At 35.9% G+C, this 19,531-nt stretch overlaps 1 protein-coding gene and 1 long non-coding RNA gene across 7 annotated transcripts in view; one reads left to right on the forward strand and one right to left on the reverse strand.

Annotated features, from left to right (window-relative positions):
- Nucleotides 1-19,531, forward strand: part of CYYR1-AS1 (CYYR1 antisense RNA 1) — a 175,618-nt gene that overhangs the window by 79,314 nt on the left and 76,773 nt on the right. The window lies entirely within an intron of this gene.
- CYYR1 (cysteine and tyrosine rich 1) overlaps nucleotides 1-19,531 on the reverse strand; it is a 107,071-nt gene that overhangs the window by 6,733 nt on the left and 80,807 nt on the right. For 3 of the 5 annotated variants that reach the window (NR_135472.2, NM_052954.5, NM_001320768.2), the window contains one exon: nucleotides 7,324-7,481. Coding sequence is in view for 4 of the 5 variants with exons in the window: in NM_052954.5 (NP_443186.3) it covers nucleotides 7,324-7,481 (158 nt within the window). In the remaining variant the exon portion in view is untranslated. Of the gene's footprint in view, nucleotides 1-4,628; nucleotides 5,188-7,323; nucleotides 7,482-9,321; nucleotides 10,460-19,531 lie in introns of those variants that run through there. The other 2 variants (XM_011529450.3, XM_047440681.1) reach the window with 2 other exon arrangements.

Raw genomic sequence — 19,531 nt, forward strand, 5'->3', positions numbered from 1 at the left:
TGCATCAAAGTTTATTTTTTCTAAGTTTTAAATATTGGTTAGGCCGAATTATCTAAATGTGGCTTATTAAATAATCCTCAATTTTTATATTCTTTTGCTATGTCTCCTTTACAGTATATAAAATTCTAATATACCTGTTCTATTCCAATGACCAAGGTGTATCTTTTTGTACCAGACATACCTCAATTTAATTATTACTGATTTTAAATAGTTTTGATACCTGGTAGAACTGATGAATCTCATGCCTTATATTTAAAGACAATTGCTCATTGCAAACCTTCTCATCTACTCTCCCCCAAACCCCACTACTCACAATTTTCCTTAACCCCACCCAGAACAGAGAGTTTAAATAAAGGCCCACACAGCTCCTGGCAAGACCTCCATTACCCGCATCCCCAGCCACATAAACTCAATACTGCCCATTTATCCTCTACAATGGCCTAACATGCAAAGATATAGTATAACCTATTGTTCCCCTTCCACTCAGATAGCATCAAGACAAATTCCATCAAGCCTCACATCCCTCTGTCACCATGAGAAAGACAGGTTTCCTTATTGTAGACCTTTAATTCTGGAAGGCTTTGCACATCGATTTGTTAATTTTCCAAAAGTTCCCCACCCCCTTCACTGTGCTCAGTGGAACACAGTCTGTCACCGCACCCTCTTTCCCTGCCTCCACCATGCAACTCCTGCTTTCAGAATGAAAGTTCTCCTCTGACCCTGTCTGTTTTCTCAAGAAATGAGATCTGTTGAGAAATCACCTGCTGAGAGTGAGAAGGCTGAGGGGATTTTTGAGTTTTGAGATGAAAGAATAATGCATGAGATGGTTAACTCAGGAAGTGGAAAGGGACATTCACATCACCTTTTTACTCTAATTAAAATCTGATTTTCCAGGAGAGCATGGCTTCCTCAGCAGCACTACCAAAGCACAGCTATTCTTTTTCTTCCACATCCTACCACCTATAGGGCCAGGAGGTGCTCAGGCTGTTCATAATCTTCATAGCCACTTTTCAAGCTATTATCTATTCTTACTCTTTAAAACCTTTTGTAGCATATATGCCATGTTGGTTTTTTTTGTTGTTGTGTGTTTTTTGTTTTCGTTTTTTTTTTTTTTTTGAGATGGAGTCTTGCTCTGTTGCCCAGGCTGGAGTGCAATGGCGCGATCTTGCCTCACTGTAAACTCCACCTCCCAGGTGCAAGTGATTCTCCTGCCTCAGCATCCTGAGTAGCTGGGACTACAGGCCCACAGGCGCCTGCCACCATACCTGGCTAATTTTTGTATTTTTAGTAGAGACGGGGTTTCACCATGTTGGTCAGGCTGGTCTCGAACTTCTGACCTCATGATCCTCCCACCTCGGCCTCCCAAAGTGCTGGGATTACAGGTGTGAGCCACCATGCCCAGCCTACCATGTGTTCTTTTCTAGCACATATGCCATGAAAAAAGAAGAATACACCGTGCCTTTTTTTTTTTTTTTTTTTTAACAGAGTAGGTGCCTTGCTATTTTGCCCAAGCCAGGATCAAACTTGAGATCTTCCTGCCTTAGCCTCAGTAGTAGCTGGGGTGATCTTATACTACTTTCTACTCCTTCTTGTTATCAATATCTGTGGTGTGTCCTACCCCAAACTTTCCTTCACTGAAGACTTAACATCTGGCCCATGGTCTCTCTTTCCTCCACAACTTCTCTTATCGTTCTTGTGATTTCAACATCCACCTAACCCTGCCTCTCAAGTCCCTTGACTATTTTTCCTTCAAAAGTCTCTTCACCCTTGTTGTTGGCAATAATAGTGCTATTTTGTAAATCTTAATTATAAATCTGACCACCACCCTTTAGTATCTTTCTAGAATACTCATTCCACTGCATCTTGGACCTCACCTGGATTTCCAATTTACTAATGGCCATTTTAAAGGAATTCAAACTGATGTCACCTCTTTCCTGTCATGGTGTCCTTTGTTATTCAGCACTGATTTATGGGCCATCACTAAAATTACTCTTTTGCACCTATTGTCAATATTCTTATCTCCTTCTCCATTGCCTGGCAGAACCCCAACCCTTATTAAACCCAACACTTTGGTTATCCTGGATCAATATCTAGGAGCTTAATGTGACTAAAGAAAAATGCACAATGATGCTGAATGATTTCACTTTGAGTAAATGACCATTTTCATAAGTGTTGTGGTCTTTGGCCTTGCTCAGAAGCCATACATTTCTTTAGACATTTCACACTCTTCATTTTCTGAGATTCCTGTTTCATGCTTTTTTTTCTTCTTAACCTCAAATACCTCCTCAGTTTTTTTCACTCTCAGCAGAAGACTTGCTTCTTATTTCACTGAGAAAATTGGCACGAGCAAAAAAGAACATCCTTTGACCACCAAGTCTACAACTCATTGAAACTGTGTTTATGTACTTATTGCCTTACATATGCTGTACATAAATAAATTGTCTCTGATCGTGCTGTACATAATGAATTGTCTCTGATCCCATCAAAGGCTAGCCCCTATACTTGTGTACCAAATTCCTTTCTTCCTCAGACTTAAGGACACTGATTTCCAACAATCCCTTCTATCTTCTGTATTCATCAGTTTCCCCCTTTATGTTTACCATCAGTGTACTAGCAAAATACAAGGCACTACTATCTGGATTTCTCAATAAGAAAAACAACAACAACAACAAAACCTCTTGACTTCATGTCCACCTCAGTTTTCTCTACCCATTTTATAGCAAAATTTTGTACTTGCTAGCTCTACTTCATCATACCCATAAATTTTGTCTGTAGCATTAATTCTGCAACCACAGTTAATATGACATCAAAGAAGGTTTTCTCAGTTCATGTTTGAATTCTCTGATTTGTACTAAAAACGTCTGCCTGGGCGAAGACTTGACTACATTAATGTATCCATTTTGTTTCCTTCCAGTGTCTTCAAGGTGAAGGCATCTTCATAGTCACAATATTATTATAGAGAATCTTTCCAGTATGAATTTTTGATGTGTAAAGAAGTTACACATCTGATGAAGATTGTTTTTAATATTCAGTACAAACACAGAAGTTTTCTTTAGTATGAACATGAGCTTGTGATCTCTAAAAAGGTTTGATGAGTACTCAGAAGTCTTCTCATGTCAGTGCACATACTAATAAGGTTTCTGTCATGTGTGAATTCAGTGATGCAAATGGGGTATTTATTTCTTAATGAAGTATTTCCAAGAGACTTGAAAGACTACAGGCCAGTTGTTTTATTGAATGTTCCCCAACTTGGGTTTGTCAGATATTTTCTCATGCTAAGATTTAGGCTGTGATCTTCCAGGTGGGACCTACATACATGAAACTGTGTTGTCCTCAGAGTAACACACTCAAAGGTCCATGATCTTTATCTGTCCTTTAGTAACCGTAAAGTTACTATTTTTCACCTGATAACTGACAAGAAATCTGGTGGACACTTTTAAGACCTGCGAATATCCTTCTCAGCACATTCTCCTCTAGATTTAGCATCGGTTGATGATTTTTGGCTAACTCTTTCTGTATGATGGTCTTAAAACAATTCTTTTCAATTCTATAACTCCCTTCTACATTTATTCTTTGACATTCTTCTGTTAGGAAGAGCCCCATTCCCCTCTCCAATTGTTTGTCTACCCTATCTATCATCTATCTATCTATCTATCTATCTATCTATCTATCTATCTATCTAATCTTCTATTATCTATCTATCTATCTAAAAATCATTTCACAGGACTCAATAATATACGTCAAATCTCATTTTTCTTGATGGCACTGAAATCTCTTGCTTTCCTTTTGTTAGTATTTGACTTTTATATCTTTGGCAAGCCTTTTGTTACAGTTTTACTATATTATTTTCTTTCAGATGTGTATATCCCAAACCTGCTTTTAAAAAAAAGGGTTAATATGATCACTTTCCTTTGTTAGCACTGAAGTTCTGAAAAGTAGTGGAAATGTAAAACTTGAAAATTCTTGCCTTCATGTGGACAATTTAAAAAATAATTGCAATTAAAGAGGACGTCTGTTCATTCTACCCAATATGGCAAGAATGAAAGACTTTTGGAAGGTCACTGTCCAACATAGGGTCAGGTATGACAGCTGAATGACACTGTTTTCACCTCGTGTAGAGTAATAATGTTCACTCTAGGGCTCCCCACTGTACACTTTCACCTTTGCTAAATTATGCTCTCTGCATTTATCTGATCTGTGGGCTGTAGGACTATACAATAAGTTGGGTTGTTATCTCAATTATCATAGGGTTAATTAATTAGTGAGGGTAAAAGCATTTTGTGTTTCCATAGATGAAAGATTTTGAAAAGTATTCAATAGTATTATGTGTTGCTTCCTAAACCTTCAAGTAAAATCTTAATTAGCGCCTTTGAGAAGGAAATGAGAAGTAATCATGCACATTATGTTTTCGAAGACCTAGTCTTTTTTGCAGTAAAAATGTTTTCAGCATGAGGTTCATTATGTTTCTTCCATTATTCAGTTCTGAGAACAATGCATTTAATAAAAATGCAATACATTCCTGTGACCTGAAAGTATAAATGATGCTAATATAAAGTTTTAAAAACATATTTCCGTCGGCTAATTGAAATTTCAAACCCAAGAAAACATGTGACCTTACATTACTATCGTGACATTTAGTATTTTCTAACTTTATTCAAAGTTTGAACTTACAGAAGGATAAAATAAAATATTGAACATTTTATAAAAATATTTAAACATTATTTTCAATTAAACTTTTTTGATCAAGCTAATGAGTATCTAGAACGTTATCTGCAAAGCAATTCTTCATACCTTCTCTACAATTAATGTCTTTGCTTGACTTTCTTCTGTTTTTCTCTTGGGTTATGGTTTGACCAAGGGAAAAAATTCAGAGGTATAAATAATAATAAAAATAATTCCATCTATTTTTTTCCTTATATTCCAACATCTTTACAGTAACCCTACCAATATTCTTGCAAGTTGGGAATATTTGAAATTGCATGTTACTTTTGTAGTGAGTACATTCCAGGGTGAAACTTAAAGTCAATTCCCTAGGGTATTGATATATGATTAATTCAGGTCTTTTCATGAGTTGTGTTCATCATTCATTCAGCTGAGTGCCCATTATGTACCAGGCCTGGTCTTACATGCTTGGAATAGAGTGTTGAACAAAATAGACCAAGATCTCTGCCTCATGGAGTTCATATTCTAGGAAGAGGAAATGAACAATAAACAATCAACATAATGATTAGCTAAACTATACGATATCTTGGAAGATTAAAAGCACTCTGGATAAAAAGCAGAGCAGCACAAAGAGAATTGGGATGCTGTCAGAAGGGACACATTACAATCTTAAATAGGGTGTATTAAATCAGGGCAGACTCCATTCAGGAGGTGACCTTTGATTAAAGACTTAAATGAAGTGAGGGAGTCAGTATTCTAGGCAAAGCCCTATGGTGGAAGTGTGGCCTTGTGAGTTCATGGAACAGCAAGGGAAAAAAATGTGACTGGAGACAGAGTGGCCAGGGAGAGAGTAGAAAAAAAGGAGGCCTGGGAAATAAAAAGAACAGCCAACTCATGCAGTACCTTGAAGGCCTCAGTAAAGAATCTGCCTTTTACTTTGGATAAAATGAAGAACCACACGCTTTAATGCCTCCTCTGCGGGAAATGGGGAACCGCTGGAAGATTCTGAGCACAGGAGTAATACGATCTGACATCTACTTTGAAAGGTTCACTCTGGCTACTGGGTTGAGAATAGACCCCAGGGGGCAAAGGGTGGATGCTGGGAGACCAGCCAGGATGTTATTAGAGTAAAGGAAGTGAGAGCTGATGAAGTTCTCCTACTAGGGGAGTAACAATATCTACTTCTCACTGTGAGAAGTAGTCAAAATACTGTATATATTTTGAAGGTAGAGCCAAGAAGTTTTCCTGGTAGAGTGCATGGTTTCTGGCCTGAGCAACTAGGATAGAGATGCCATCAAGAGAAATGGTAAAGGCTGTGAGTGGACAGGGGTTTTGGGGGAAATCCAACACTTGGATCAGAAATCCAAGTTTAGACATGTCAAATTTGGGATATTTATGAGACACTCAAGTGGAGATGTTCAATAGGCACTGGGATAAAATGAATTGGTTTGGACTGGAGATACATGGGAGGCATTAGCATATAAATGGCACTTACCACCCTGAGGTTGTAATACTCTTAATACAGGCAAAGAAGTAAGTGTAGATACAATATGGAAGAAAAGACAAGACTGAGCCTTCAGGTACTCCAGTATGAAAATATTATAGAAGAAGAACTGGCCAAAGAGGAACAAGAGGAATTATCATACCCTTATTGATCTGAAATTTGCTCCCTCAAGTTGAAGATGATAGAGGAAAAAAAAAAAAAAGATTGACAGAGGAAGGACAGAACAGGGAATTAATACAAATACAAAGCACAGTTGCATGTAGAAGGTACCCTGTTCTTTTCCTGTAGAGACAGAGAAAGAAAAGACATGAGTATGGATGGGAAATTAACTTCCTAAGAGTGTGTTAAATTTAGAACTTGCCTGCTTTTTATATGTCAAATTGTACATGCACAGATTGACTTAGAAAGCATTATTGAAATCCTCTAATGCAAAATGCAGTATTTTGTTTATGAAGTCACATGTACTCAATATATTTTAATACATGGAACTTCTAGCATATTCTCAATAAATATTTGTCAAATTATTAATATATTGCCCTTGCTCTTTGTTGAAATTTTTTTTTTCTTTTGTATTTTTAGTAGAGACTGAGTTTCTCCAAGTTGGCCAGGCTAGTCATGAACCCTTGCCCTCAAGTGATCCACCCACCTCGGCCTACCAAAATGTTGGGATTACAGGCGTGAGCCACTGTGCCTGGCCTGTTGAGAATTTTAATATTGTGTTTAAAGCTGTTCTCTCGACCTAATGAAGATATATGAAAATTTTCTTGAATGCTTTTTCTCAAGACATATATATCTATTGGATCAGATGCCAGTTTATTGAGACATACATTATACTTTATAAATTACTTGTCAGTACTCACTAGCAGGTAGACACAGTGGGTGTGAATTGCTTATTTGTCTTAATTCTGGCTGACTGGCAATTGTAGTCAATGAAACAGACATTAAAAATATGAATACCTTCAAAAAAAAAGAATTGGGTTGTATTACTTGGATCTAAGCAATCTTGATTCAGCTAGAACTTCAATCTACATGTACCTAGAAATACTCTATGAAATTGAAGGTGGTTTCATTGACCATCTAGAATGTTTCCTTCTCTCTGTGAGGAGCAGAGGATAACTAGCAAATCTGAGCCTTCGAGAGTCAACAGTTTTGCTCACCAGGATAGGAGGAGACGGTGTTGATGTGAGTCGTCCTGAGGATGCCCACGCGGGTCGCCCTGTGGTTCTTCATGCACATGCAGATGCATATGGCAATCCCAGCAATGACCCCCATGATAAATACTATTCCAAAAACAATGCCCGCAATTGCAGTGCCCCTAAAAGGAAAAACAAGTAAGTTTACTCAAAAGACTTGTAAGCATTCTTTAGACTTTCTAGTAGAGCTCCATGATTATAGGACAAGTGTTTTCTTACAAATGTTCTTAAGGATAATGTGTGTGTGTTTTTCTTTTCTTTTTTTTTTTAAAACCCATAAGTTCCCTGAATTGATAAAGCAAATAGTCTGTATTTCAATAGATATGAAAAAGTTATAAAAATCCTCTTCTAGCACCGTTGACCAATTCATCATTCAGATTCCAGTTCTTAAAATTCATGTTTTGATACAAAGCACAATTCTCTAGATATGCTCTCCAAAGTAATAATTTTAAAAACCATTCTGCTGTGTATCTAAACAGCAAAGAATTTATCTGTTGGGCATAGCATGTATGTGTTTAATGAAAACAACTTGGTAGATGTCAGAATATTAAGTGAAATTTAACACTCATTCCTGATTAACACTCTTCATAGAACAAGAATATTTGTTTCTTAATAAAAGAAAACCAAACCAAACTTCATATTTTTAAGCTACCCAGAGAACAGTTATGACAAATAAGTATCCCATTAATTCAGGAAGAACATAAATAAAACTTCGATTTCTACTAATGTTAATGGTTTCTTTCCCGCAGAAAGTTTTAGCTCATGCAACAAAACCATAAATAGAAAAAAAAGCCGAATAGCAGAAAAGAGTCAACATTATGATTGTTTGTGTGGAATATAATTTGTAGGTAACTACATTTTTCTGTTATTTTGAAAAGCAATGGGGAAATCTTTATCAAAATATAAATTTTGACCAAGAAGCATCATTTTTAGCAATGCTCCCTAAGGAAATGTAGCACATAAGCATAAATACTATAACAAGGATGTTCATCACAGTGTTGTGGCTAATAGCAAAATAGGAGAAACATCCTAATGTCCATAAAAAGAGGACTGACAGAAAAAAATTCGTCAGAAAAGGAATCTTACATATTGATTAAAAAGGGTCAAGAGATCCACATGGATTGAAGTGAAATGTTTATGATACATGGTTAACTTAATAGTAATACTATTACTATTGATAGTAATTTGTATTCATTCAATTAATTAGTGTTAGCTTCCAGCACCATCCATGTGCCTGCAAAAGACATGATCTTGTTCTTTTTTATGGCTGCATAATATTCCACGGTGTGTATGTACTACATTTTCTTTATCCAGTCTGTCACTGATGGGCATTTAGGTTGATTCCATGTCTTTTCTATTGTGAACAGTGCTGCAATGAACATTTGCATGCATGTGTCTTTATGGTAGAATGCTTCATTTTCCTCTGGGAATGAATTAGTATTAATTGAATACTAATTCAATTAATTAGTATTTTCAATACTTACTAGTATTGAATACTAGTAATTAGTATTGATAGTAATTAGTATTGAATGGAAAAGCAAGTATTAACAGGATACTACCAGTAATAACAGAATAATTGCCATGAGGTAAAACTGCATTTCTATGTATCAAGTTTTTTATTATCTACAGTGATGATCTTGTAAATGTGAAAAATAAAAATATTCACTTTCTCATTTGCATATTCCACAAAAGCAACCACTTCAACCCTTTCAGTTATTTTTTCTAATACCCTCTCTCCTATTTCTCAATATTATTATTACATTATTTTATATTTTTTGTTTTTACACATTATTTATTGCCTCCTCTTATACTATTTGGGAATGCAGATCTCTCAGACAAGATTTATCCTTGGTTAAATCAGTCTTCAGTATTTACATTGCCATAACTTTGCTATCTGCTGAGCCAAGCAATGTACCATAGTTAACTTTTACAAATTATTATCGCATTTATTTTACAACTTACTATTTTTAAACAATTTCCATGAATTTTTATTTTTCCATATACATATTGATATCTGCTCCTTGCAAAAATTCCTAGAAATCTTTCCCACATTATCAGTAGCTTTTTCATACTCAAACATAGTAAAATAGCTTATCAGTTCTGTTCTGCTCCCCTGATGATTTCCTTCTTACAGCAACTAAGACTACTGGTTGTTCCGAACCTGGAACTGTTCCCCTTGAGCCCTGTTTGCTGGTCCTCACATTTAGTTTCTGGACCCAATTCTTGCTAATTCTTGGTGAACTGCATTGTTTGTTGAAGCACGTTCCTGAATGGCTTCTTAAAAATCGACTCAAAGGAAAGTAGATTTTTCAAGTCTTTGAATGCCTGAAAATGACTTAATGCTTCACTCTTACGTGATTGATAATTCATCTATGCATGAAATTCTAAACTGCAAGACATTATTTCTTAGAAATATGAGGGCATTGCTTATTGTCTTCTAGAATTTGGAGCTGCTGTAAAGAATTCCCATGGCATTATAATTACTTTCCTTTGTGTGATACCGTTTTTTCTTTTCTTTCTTTCTGGAAGTTCTTAGCATTTTCTTTTTACTCTTGGTATTCTAAAATTTCATAATGTGCCTGGGTTTAAAATATATATATTTTCCAGGTCCTTTTGATTCTTTATGTTCGGAGACTCACGTCCTTCAGTTGTTGAAACTTCTCCATACAATGTTAATTTTTTCTTCACTATTTTCTGTATTCTTCCTTCTGGAAACTCATTCTGAAATAAGCTTTTGAACTTTCTGGATCGATTCTCTAACTCTTTTTTAAAATCCTTTTTAAAAAACTACTGTCTGGAGAATTTCATTGACTTTATCTTCCAAAGTTGTACTAAACTTTAAATTACAGTTATCTTATTTTTAATTTTCTGGTGCTTTATCTCATCCTCTATTGCACTCCCCTCCCTGTTTCCAGTGTCTGTGTTTCTTCCATTGATGCAGTCTCTTAATCTTTGAAAGCACCAATGATATATTCTTTGATACTTTCTCTACTGTTTGTATTTCCTCGTCCTGTCTGGGTTCTTTTTTATTGATTGTTCATTTTGATCTCATTCATATTTGATGTTTTCTTCAAATGTCTGGTGATCCTTGAATTCTCTCCTATCAAAAAAAAAAAAAAAAGCTTGAAGTAGCTACTTGGAAGTTTAGTTTGCAAGCCAGAATTTGACAGGTGAACTCCAAAGAACAGGACAAACTGAGATCAGACCATAGATCTTTTCCTTGGGGCTATTCATTTTTCTCCATGAAAGCATTCTCCAATTTCATACTTGGGGAGCATCAGCCTCACTGCCAATATCCCGGAGCTTGGAATTGTACTCATAAGGATATGAACTTTCATGAAATCCTTACGCTTTCATCTCAGACACCCAGTCTCTGGCTTCGCTTTGTCGGCTGTCTTTTGGGTTTCACTCTGGAGGCTTACGGGTTTAAGTCTTCACAAACCATTCTTTGTTGTGTAAAAGCATGATCTCTGAAGGCAGATCACCTGGGTACCAACTATAGCTGTGGAACCTTGGGCATGTTGCTCAATCTCTCTGTGCCTCAGTTTCCTCATTTATAAAGGGAAGGTCAGTTTGGTGCTCATTTGACTCTCCTCCCAAATTTCTTGTCATGAGTCTTGTGCTCCTGGACTTATCTGTTGGGTAAATAGGTCCTTATTCTCAGTGGTACCTGAACACCTATCCTATACTTTTCTGAGACTGGCCATAATTTCTTACCCCAAACCACTGGGGCCAGATCTGTCTCATAGTCAGAAATTTTCAGATTTTGTAAAGAAAATACATACACTACGCATTGTGAAATATTCCCAGGGGCAGCTAGGGCAGCATGTTGAGAACATTTATATTCCTACAGCGAAGGTGGGAATATTAACGCTGTTAGATTATATGGGGACTACACAAAAGCCCAAGGTTGGTTCAGGTCAAGTCTGGCCACCAACTGACCTTTATCTGCAATTCTGAAATCCACAGAAAACTCTGAAAACTGAAAGTGCACATAAGGGATTGTGAAGCTGTATTTATACTTTCCAGAGGATATTTTCTCTCTAACACTTTTCCCCACCTACATACAAAAATAGAATGCCATTAAGAATATCAATAATCTCCTTTAAAATACTTCTATAGGCATTTTTACTTAGTTATTAAGAAGGCAGAATGTGAGACATATTTGGATGTGTTGCTATTAGTAATTAAATAATAGCAGAGTCCAGTAGTTTAATAAATAAATCTTTTCAAGAAAAAAAGATCTATGAAAGGAGATAATTCGAAGTGAGAAAATTAAAAGTAATCTGGAAACTTCCTTTATTGTAAGTTTCAGGTCCAAATAAGATTAAACTGGAGGACTTAATTTATGTTCCAGAAATAATCAATGGCCCAGTTATTCAGGCATAGAGTTTCCAAACTATGTGTTATGGAAGCTGTTAAGATATCGAATTGGGACATATTTATATTCATTAATTCTTTTCTTAAATAGAGGAAAGTAGAAAATTAGTCACATTTTGTTTCCTTGTTGGCAGCTCCAGCAAAAGTGCCTGCTCTTGAGGTCAATAATGAGGTTGCAACTAATGTATTAAATTAGTTTTTTTGATTAAATCATGAAGTTGGTGCCCTTGATCCTTTGATACCCATTAGCAATCGTAAATTAGTTATTTAAGACATGGCAAGTATAAAATTTACAGCATTATTTACTTTGTAATTAATAAAAAGAAACAATAAACAAATAGTAACTTTCCTGCATATAAATAATTGGCTCAGTCAACTGTTGGAAAGTGAGAAGCTATTAATTTGAAAAATCTGGCATCATTAAAACCTTGAAAAAATTTCAGGGAATGTATTTTTTTTAAAACAACGCCTTGCAAGGTTTGCACATTTTCCTCTCTCCTTTTAAACTTTTATTTTAAAATAATTATAAATTCACGGGAAGTGTAAAAAGAGTACAGAGAGAGCTCACGTACCCTTCACCCAGTTTCCCCAGATGGTTACATCTTAAGTAACAATGGCACAACATGAAAAGCAGGAAATTGACATTACTATAAGGTGTATTTATAGTTCCATGTCATCTGAACACATGCACAGAGTCATATAACCACTACAGCAAGCAAGATACAAAACTATTCCATCATCACAAAATATTTCCCTTTCGCTATTACTTTGCTTTATGGTCATATCCAACATGCCTTCTCTCTGCCATCAATAACCCCGGGTATCAGCAATCTGTTCTCCGTTTCTGTAATTTAGTCATTTCAAGAAGATTATACAAATGGAATCATACAGCATGTGAGTTTTGGAGATAGTCTTTTTTCCCTCAGCGTAATGCCTTTGGAATCCATTCCAGTTTCTGCATGTATCAGTAGTTCATTCCTAGATGAGCAAGCAGTCCATGATATGGCTATAACACACTTTGTTTAACCATTATTTATTGTAGGGCATTTTGGTTTGACAAATAAAGTTGCTATAAACAATCATGTACAGATTTTTGTGTGGACATAAGTATTCATTTCTCTGCAATAAATGCCCAGAAGTGCAATTACTGGGATGTACGATAAATGTATGTTTGAGTTTTAAAGAAACTTCCAAGTTATTTACATTCCTACCAGCAAGGTATGAGAGATCCTCTCTGCGTCCTTGCCAGTATCTAGTTTTATAATCTGTTTTTTAGCTGTTTTAACGGATAAAGCATTAAGTGTAGTGGTATTTCATCATGGCCTTAATTTGCATTCCCGTAATGGCTAGCAAGGTTGAACATGTTTTCGAAAGCTTATTTGCCATTCATCTTCTTCAGTGAAATGTCCACCTGAGTCTTTTGCCCATATTCTAATTGGATTGCTTGGTTATTTTACTGTTGAGTTTTTGAGAATTATTTGAGTCCTTTACAAAATATGTAGTTTGCGAATATTTTTACTGGTCTGTAGCACATCTTTTCATTCTCCCAACAGGGTCGTTCACAGAACAAAAGTTTTTAAATAAAGTCCAATCTATCATTTTTTTTCTTTTATGGATTGTGCTTTGGGGTCATACGTGGGAACTTTTCATGAAGCCCTAGGTCCTGAAGACTTTCTCCTATGCTTCTTTCTAAAAGACTGATTATTTTACATTTGATATTTAAACCTATGATCTATTTTTGTTTAATTTCTGTACGAGGTATTAGATTTAGGTTGAGGTTCATTATTACCAGATTATTTTGCCTGTGGATAGCCAGCTACTTCAGTACCATTTATTAAAAGCATTCCTCATCCCCCCATCGCATTGCTTTTGCACCTTTGTCAAAAATCAGTTGGCCTGTGCAGGACTGTTTCTAGGTTCTAATTTAGCTAATTTTTTTTTCTTTTTTTGCAAAATGAGATTTTATAATCAAGATATTAAATGTATCTATGGTGGCTGAAATAATATGAAACTGTCTTTTATAACAAAGCTCAGAGATAATATATTTTATTCCATAAATCGCTTTTCATGAGTAAAAAAAGATTCTGATAATGTTGCCATGTTGCAGTAACACTTTTAGGCTTAGCACTGCTATACAGCAGCTTACTAGTTATCTTGATGTGGTTTTACTATTAATATTAAATAATATTTAAGGAAAATAGCAGATATGAAAAGTACGCCAGAGTAATATTTATCTTCTTCTCGGATACGACCCAATTTACAAATGCATTTTATAAAACTATAAATCAAAGGGCTTATGAATATTCTATGTAATAATTTAGTAACAGCAGTCCCAATAAAGTAGAAAAATTAAAAAGGCCATGCGGATATTTGATATCTATATTTGATACCACACGGATATTTTACACCTATACAAAAAGTGGGGAAAATTCTAGAATATTTTTGTTAGGATAAACTTCCATATGGAAATAAGAGTTTGAAATAAAATACCTTTACCTTTGAAATAAGTCAAAGGTAAAAGTATCAGAAGAGAGAGTTCTCTGGAAAAAGTAACCATAGCTTCAAAAGAATAAACTTAAAGTAGGTTTATTTCTTATTAAAATAAAAAAATTATAAGTGAAGCTAAAGCATTTTTATCTTTTGTTAAAGAAGGTAATATTTAGTCGACTTATTTATTTGTGATGATACACATGAGATGAATTAAGCAATGATAAAAATCCTATTCCTACTACAGCGCTGAAAGTCGACTACATACATGAGAATAAATCTTGGCAAAATTCTATATCAGATCATCCTACTTCCTCAATAATTCATTCTTTTGGCCAATTCATTAAAATACTGTAATACCCTTGAATACAATGTTTTATTATAAATCATTGGCAATTTTAGTAACACTTTGACTTGCTTAACTTAAAAATAATGCATTTTCTTCTCTGTTGCTTAAATAAATACAGAAAATAATAGAAAAACAAACTCAATGGAGTATCATTTTCAATATTAACAGTATTTACTTATATTAATCGTAGGATCTCAGAACTATCTCTATTTCTATTTTTATCTCTATGAGTCTGGTTACATGTACATCTATGTATACGTGTATCAGATAAGAAAACCATAATATCGAATAGTTAAATTGTTATTAAATATTGTTACTACTCCAAGTGTAAAATGCTTAGGAGGGTAGGAAGACCAATCCATGTAATTTTTCCAGTAAGTCTACATTACTTGCAAAAAAAAAAAAAAATCTGTAAAATCCAAATATGCTAATAATGTTTTTTTATTTTGCTTTTTTTTTTTCTTTCATTCTGGTGACTCCCCTTAATAACTTCACTCAATATATCCTCTTTCTTGGGGCTTTATAGATAACTTCTTTCTGTTAGCCTCATGATAATAAAACTGGAAACTAATATCTCTTTGAATGAATAAATTTACGTGATTTATTGACTCAAGCCCCATGACAGAGACAATTGTGTAACCCAATATTCATTTTCTACATTTTCCTTGATAAAAGAAGTCTGAGGGTTGACTAAAATAAAGACTACATCTTCCCCTACTTCCTTCCTTCCTTCCTTCCTTCCTTCCTTCCTTCCTTCCTTCCAGACAAGGTCTAACTGCGTCACCCAGGCTGGAGTGCAGTGGCTCACTGAAGTCTCAACCTCTGGGCTCAAGTGATTCTCCCACCTCAGCCTCCCTAGTAGCTGGCACTATGGGCACACGTCACCATTACCAGCTAATTTTGTAATTTTTGTAGAGACAGGATTTCGCTATGTTGCCAGGCTGGTCTCCAACTCCTGAGGTAAAGCAATCTGCCTGCCTCAGCCTCCCAAAGTGCTGGGATTACAGGCATGAGCCACCATGCCTGGCGAGTACTACATCTTCCAGGTAGCCTTAAAGCTAGTGTTTTGTTTTGTTTTGTTTTTTACATGTTGAGTTTTGGAAAATAAGTTGTAATAAAATATTTTGTGTCAATTCTCAGGAAACCTCCTTAAAAGATGGCTGGAATGGGATTTTTCTCCCATTTTCTGTCTTACCTTCCTTTCAGCTTTCTGAAATAGGAGTGTAATGGCTGAGCTCTAGTCTCCAAGGTGGACCATGAAGACAAGAGCCATATCCTAGGGATGGAAGAGGTATGAGTTTGATGGAGTTTGTATCCTTAATAACAACATGGAGATGCTGTATCAACTCCCATTTCCTTTGCACGAGAAACAAACTAGTTTAAAAAAAATTATTAAAGTCTCTGTTATTCTAGTTTGAGTGTGAATGTATGTGTGTGTGATATGCTACCCAACCTAATCTTACCTAATACAATTCCTTTGCCAAAATTGCTATACAGTTTAAACAAAAGCAAATATTTAATGTGGAAATGGCAGTTTTAAGGAACATACAGGTACTCTGGGATCCTGTAGAAAAGTTCTAAAAAAGCATATCAGAACCAGGAAAGCAAGAGACTGCATTCAATTTCATTAATTGGGATTGTTCCTCATATCTTACGTAGAATTAAACTTTATGGCTCAGTGAGAGATCTTTAAGAAATCTATACATTACTTCGATGTCAAAGTAGTATACAAAATGAGAATAAAAAGTGCTCTTGAATATGTTGTAGATTGTAGGGTGATCTACAGAATAACACTTTATCACTAGAGTTCAATGGTAAATGCTTTGATTGATGAACAAAAAGTACCCTTTAAGAACTGCCTGGTTAGCATTTATTTGCACTGACTGAATTATCTGAACAAGTGCCAAATTCTTACATGATTTTGTGCCAATATAGATTTAATGAGAGTCGAATACATATGATTCAAAAATGGTCATATTAAAAAAATCAAACACGATTTTTCAGTTTTCTGTAAGGTTTTATATACATGCACATACATATTGTTTTATGTATGTATAATATATATAATATAAGATATATATTTAACTGTGTGGATACCAAATGTCATCATTTGGTTAGTTGTCAGTACAGCTTTGAGACTGCACAACACAACATACTATATGTCAAAATCTAAATGCAGTAAATCATAGTTACAGAAGTTTCTAGAACATTTTAATGCTATGTACATGAAAGTGATTCATTTAACTGTTTAACACCAATATTTGGAAAAGCAGTATTGACTCAGTAGTACTGAAACAGGTATAATTGTATCCCCAGTAACAACATGGAGATGCTATATCAACTCCTGTTCCCTTTACATGAGGGAGAAACAAACTCGTTTTTGAAAAACAAAACACCTTAGATGTTTGATTTATCCCTCAGTCATTTTGCCTACAATTCTAACTGACTACCACTAGATAGCGACATTCACGACTTCACTCATTAAGTATATATTGAGCGGCTGGGGGCAGTGGCTCACACCTGTAATCCCAGCACTTTAGGAGGCTGAGGAGTGCTGATCCCTTGAGCCAGGAGTTCAACACAAGCCTGGCCACATGGTGAAACCCTGCCTGTACGAAAAATACAAAAATTAGCCGGTGTGTGACACACACCTGTAGTCTCATCTACTTGGTAGGATGAGGCATGAGAATCGCTTAAACCTGGGAGGCAGAGGTTGCAGTGAGCCAAGATAGCCTCACTGCACTCCAACCTGGGTGACAGAGTGAGACCCTGTCTCAAAAAATTTAAAAAAAATATATATATATTGAGCATCACTACGTGCTAGCACTATTCTGGGTACTACGATACAAAGTTGGATGATACATAATACTTGACTTTAAAGATTTTAGAGCCATGTACTAGATAGCAAACAAAGAGATTTTGAAGGTCAACTATCTCCAGGCATAGAAGACTATGACAAGACAACAATGAAATAATTTGGTCATACTCAGCAAAAGAGAATTGTTTTTCTTTTTAAAGTATAAATATAATACACTAGAGAGAATAGTAGTAATTTCTTAATGCTATTTCTTGGTTACATGTAACAGATTTTTGAATCAGAGAGTACTTTTGGGACATTGACCACAACTCACGTGTTTTGAAGGTAAGAAAACCAAATATGTGAGGACCTAAAATAAAATAGTTGCCAAAGTTCTTCCAGCTAGTTTTGTGGTAGAGTTCAAACTGGAGCTTGGCAGTCCTAATTTCCACCACGGAGCTGAGTAGATTGCAATGGCCTGCCTTGCTCTCATTTTCTCATCCACTCAACAAATGCTATGGTGTATCTTCTTTGTGCCAGACACTCTACTAAGCACTAGGCATGTAAAGATGAAAAAATTCTACTTGGGAAGTAGAGAAAGAGAGGAGAAAAGAATTCCTGGAATGTCTGTGAAATTTAAGCTCTAAGACCTGATGACTGATCCAACGGGGGAGTGAGTGAAAGGCAAGAGTGTAGAATGCTTTCCCTATGGGTGATTGCATTCTGCCACACAATACAGTCTATCAAAATGTGTTGAAAAGAAAAATATGAAACATGGAATTATAAACTAGAGCCAAATAGATACAGCTACTGCACACAGGCTTTCCTGCTTTTCTCATTCCAAGCCTAAAAAATCTTCAATTACTTCCAGATACAATACTCTCATTTATAATGCATTGGCATGGTTCACCCTTTTGAAGTAACCTTTGCTGAAACTTCCCACTGAGCTAATTATCTTAACTTGCTTATGGTGATTACTTTAGACAGGACTTTCTTCTTTTTCTTTCTGTACCTTTTTGTCATGCTTTGAGTGGAAATAAAAACTCACAAACTGGTTTTTTAATAGTGACTACAAGGATTTCTATTGAAAGTCCATTTGTTGAGATTTAAGTCCTGAGAGCATATAAGACTTAAAAGATTGAATGCGATATGAAAATTCAGAGCTAATACTCTTTCCTTTCCATTGACTCGAAGATGGAGAGTTTCAAATAAATATGGAGGCTCACACAGTCAATGACCTGGCAGAACAGCATCTGCTTTTTGGGGGCAGCTGGATATTTAAAGATTTAATAAGGATTAAATATTTAAAGATTCTAATAAAACTCATGTTGATATTGGAGATTGTAAACCTTTCCAAAGTAACTGCTGAAGGAGGTAATAAACTCTGATGGCAAGTAGACTCCAGACAATGAGTCCACGTGCCTAACCCAGTGTCTTCTCCTGTGGCTCTACTGATTGCTTTTGTCTACACATTACAAGCTGGCCTGCCCACCCAGGCCACTGTGATCCTTTGCCTGGGCCCTCGCAAGTTCCCATTCTCTGTTGAGACAAGCCTGTGACTGATCGCTGTCTGCTGGGGAGATCTCCTGTTCTAGGGCTGTCAGTGATTTGCCTGGTTCTGACATTTATTATCTGCACACAACTCTCACAAGCCTGAGGCTGCCCAGACTCAACAGCTCCTGCCCAGTCACACCTCCTCAAATGTCTTGCTCACAACCTTACCTGTGTCAGCCTGATGTGATTGATTGGAGCTGTCATACTTTGGCTTCCTCTTAGGGTCTAGCTTCGTGCGCATTAAAATTCACAAGCAACCTATTTTCATCATAGCATCAATATCATTGTCTTTCACTATAGATGCTGCTAATACACAGCTCCAAAGAGTTTCTGAGTTTTATGTCTATCCATTAGATCTCAATCTCATCTTATTCCAGTATATACAATCCCAGAGAAGGAACGTGATTGGCGTTGGGAACCTACCTTTGTATCAATTCACATGGCCAAGGCCAGAGATACTGTAATTGGCCTAGCTTTAATTAGATACCTGTCCTTAGACCTGCCATTTGTAACCACTGAGAAAGACATGAGGGAAATAGAGGTGCTCAGTTTAGTAGCAGAGGCAGGGGAATTGGCAAACAATGACACAGACATTCACACACACT

The sequence above is a fragment of the Homo sapiens genome, chromosome 21 (genome assembly GCF_000001405.40).
Source record: "Homo sapiens chromosome 21, GRCh38.p14 Primary Assembly".
NCBI lineage: Eukaryota > Metazoa > Chordata > Mammalia > Primates > Hominidae > Homo > Homo sapiens.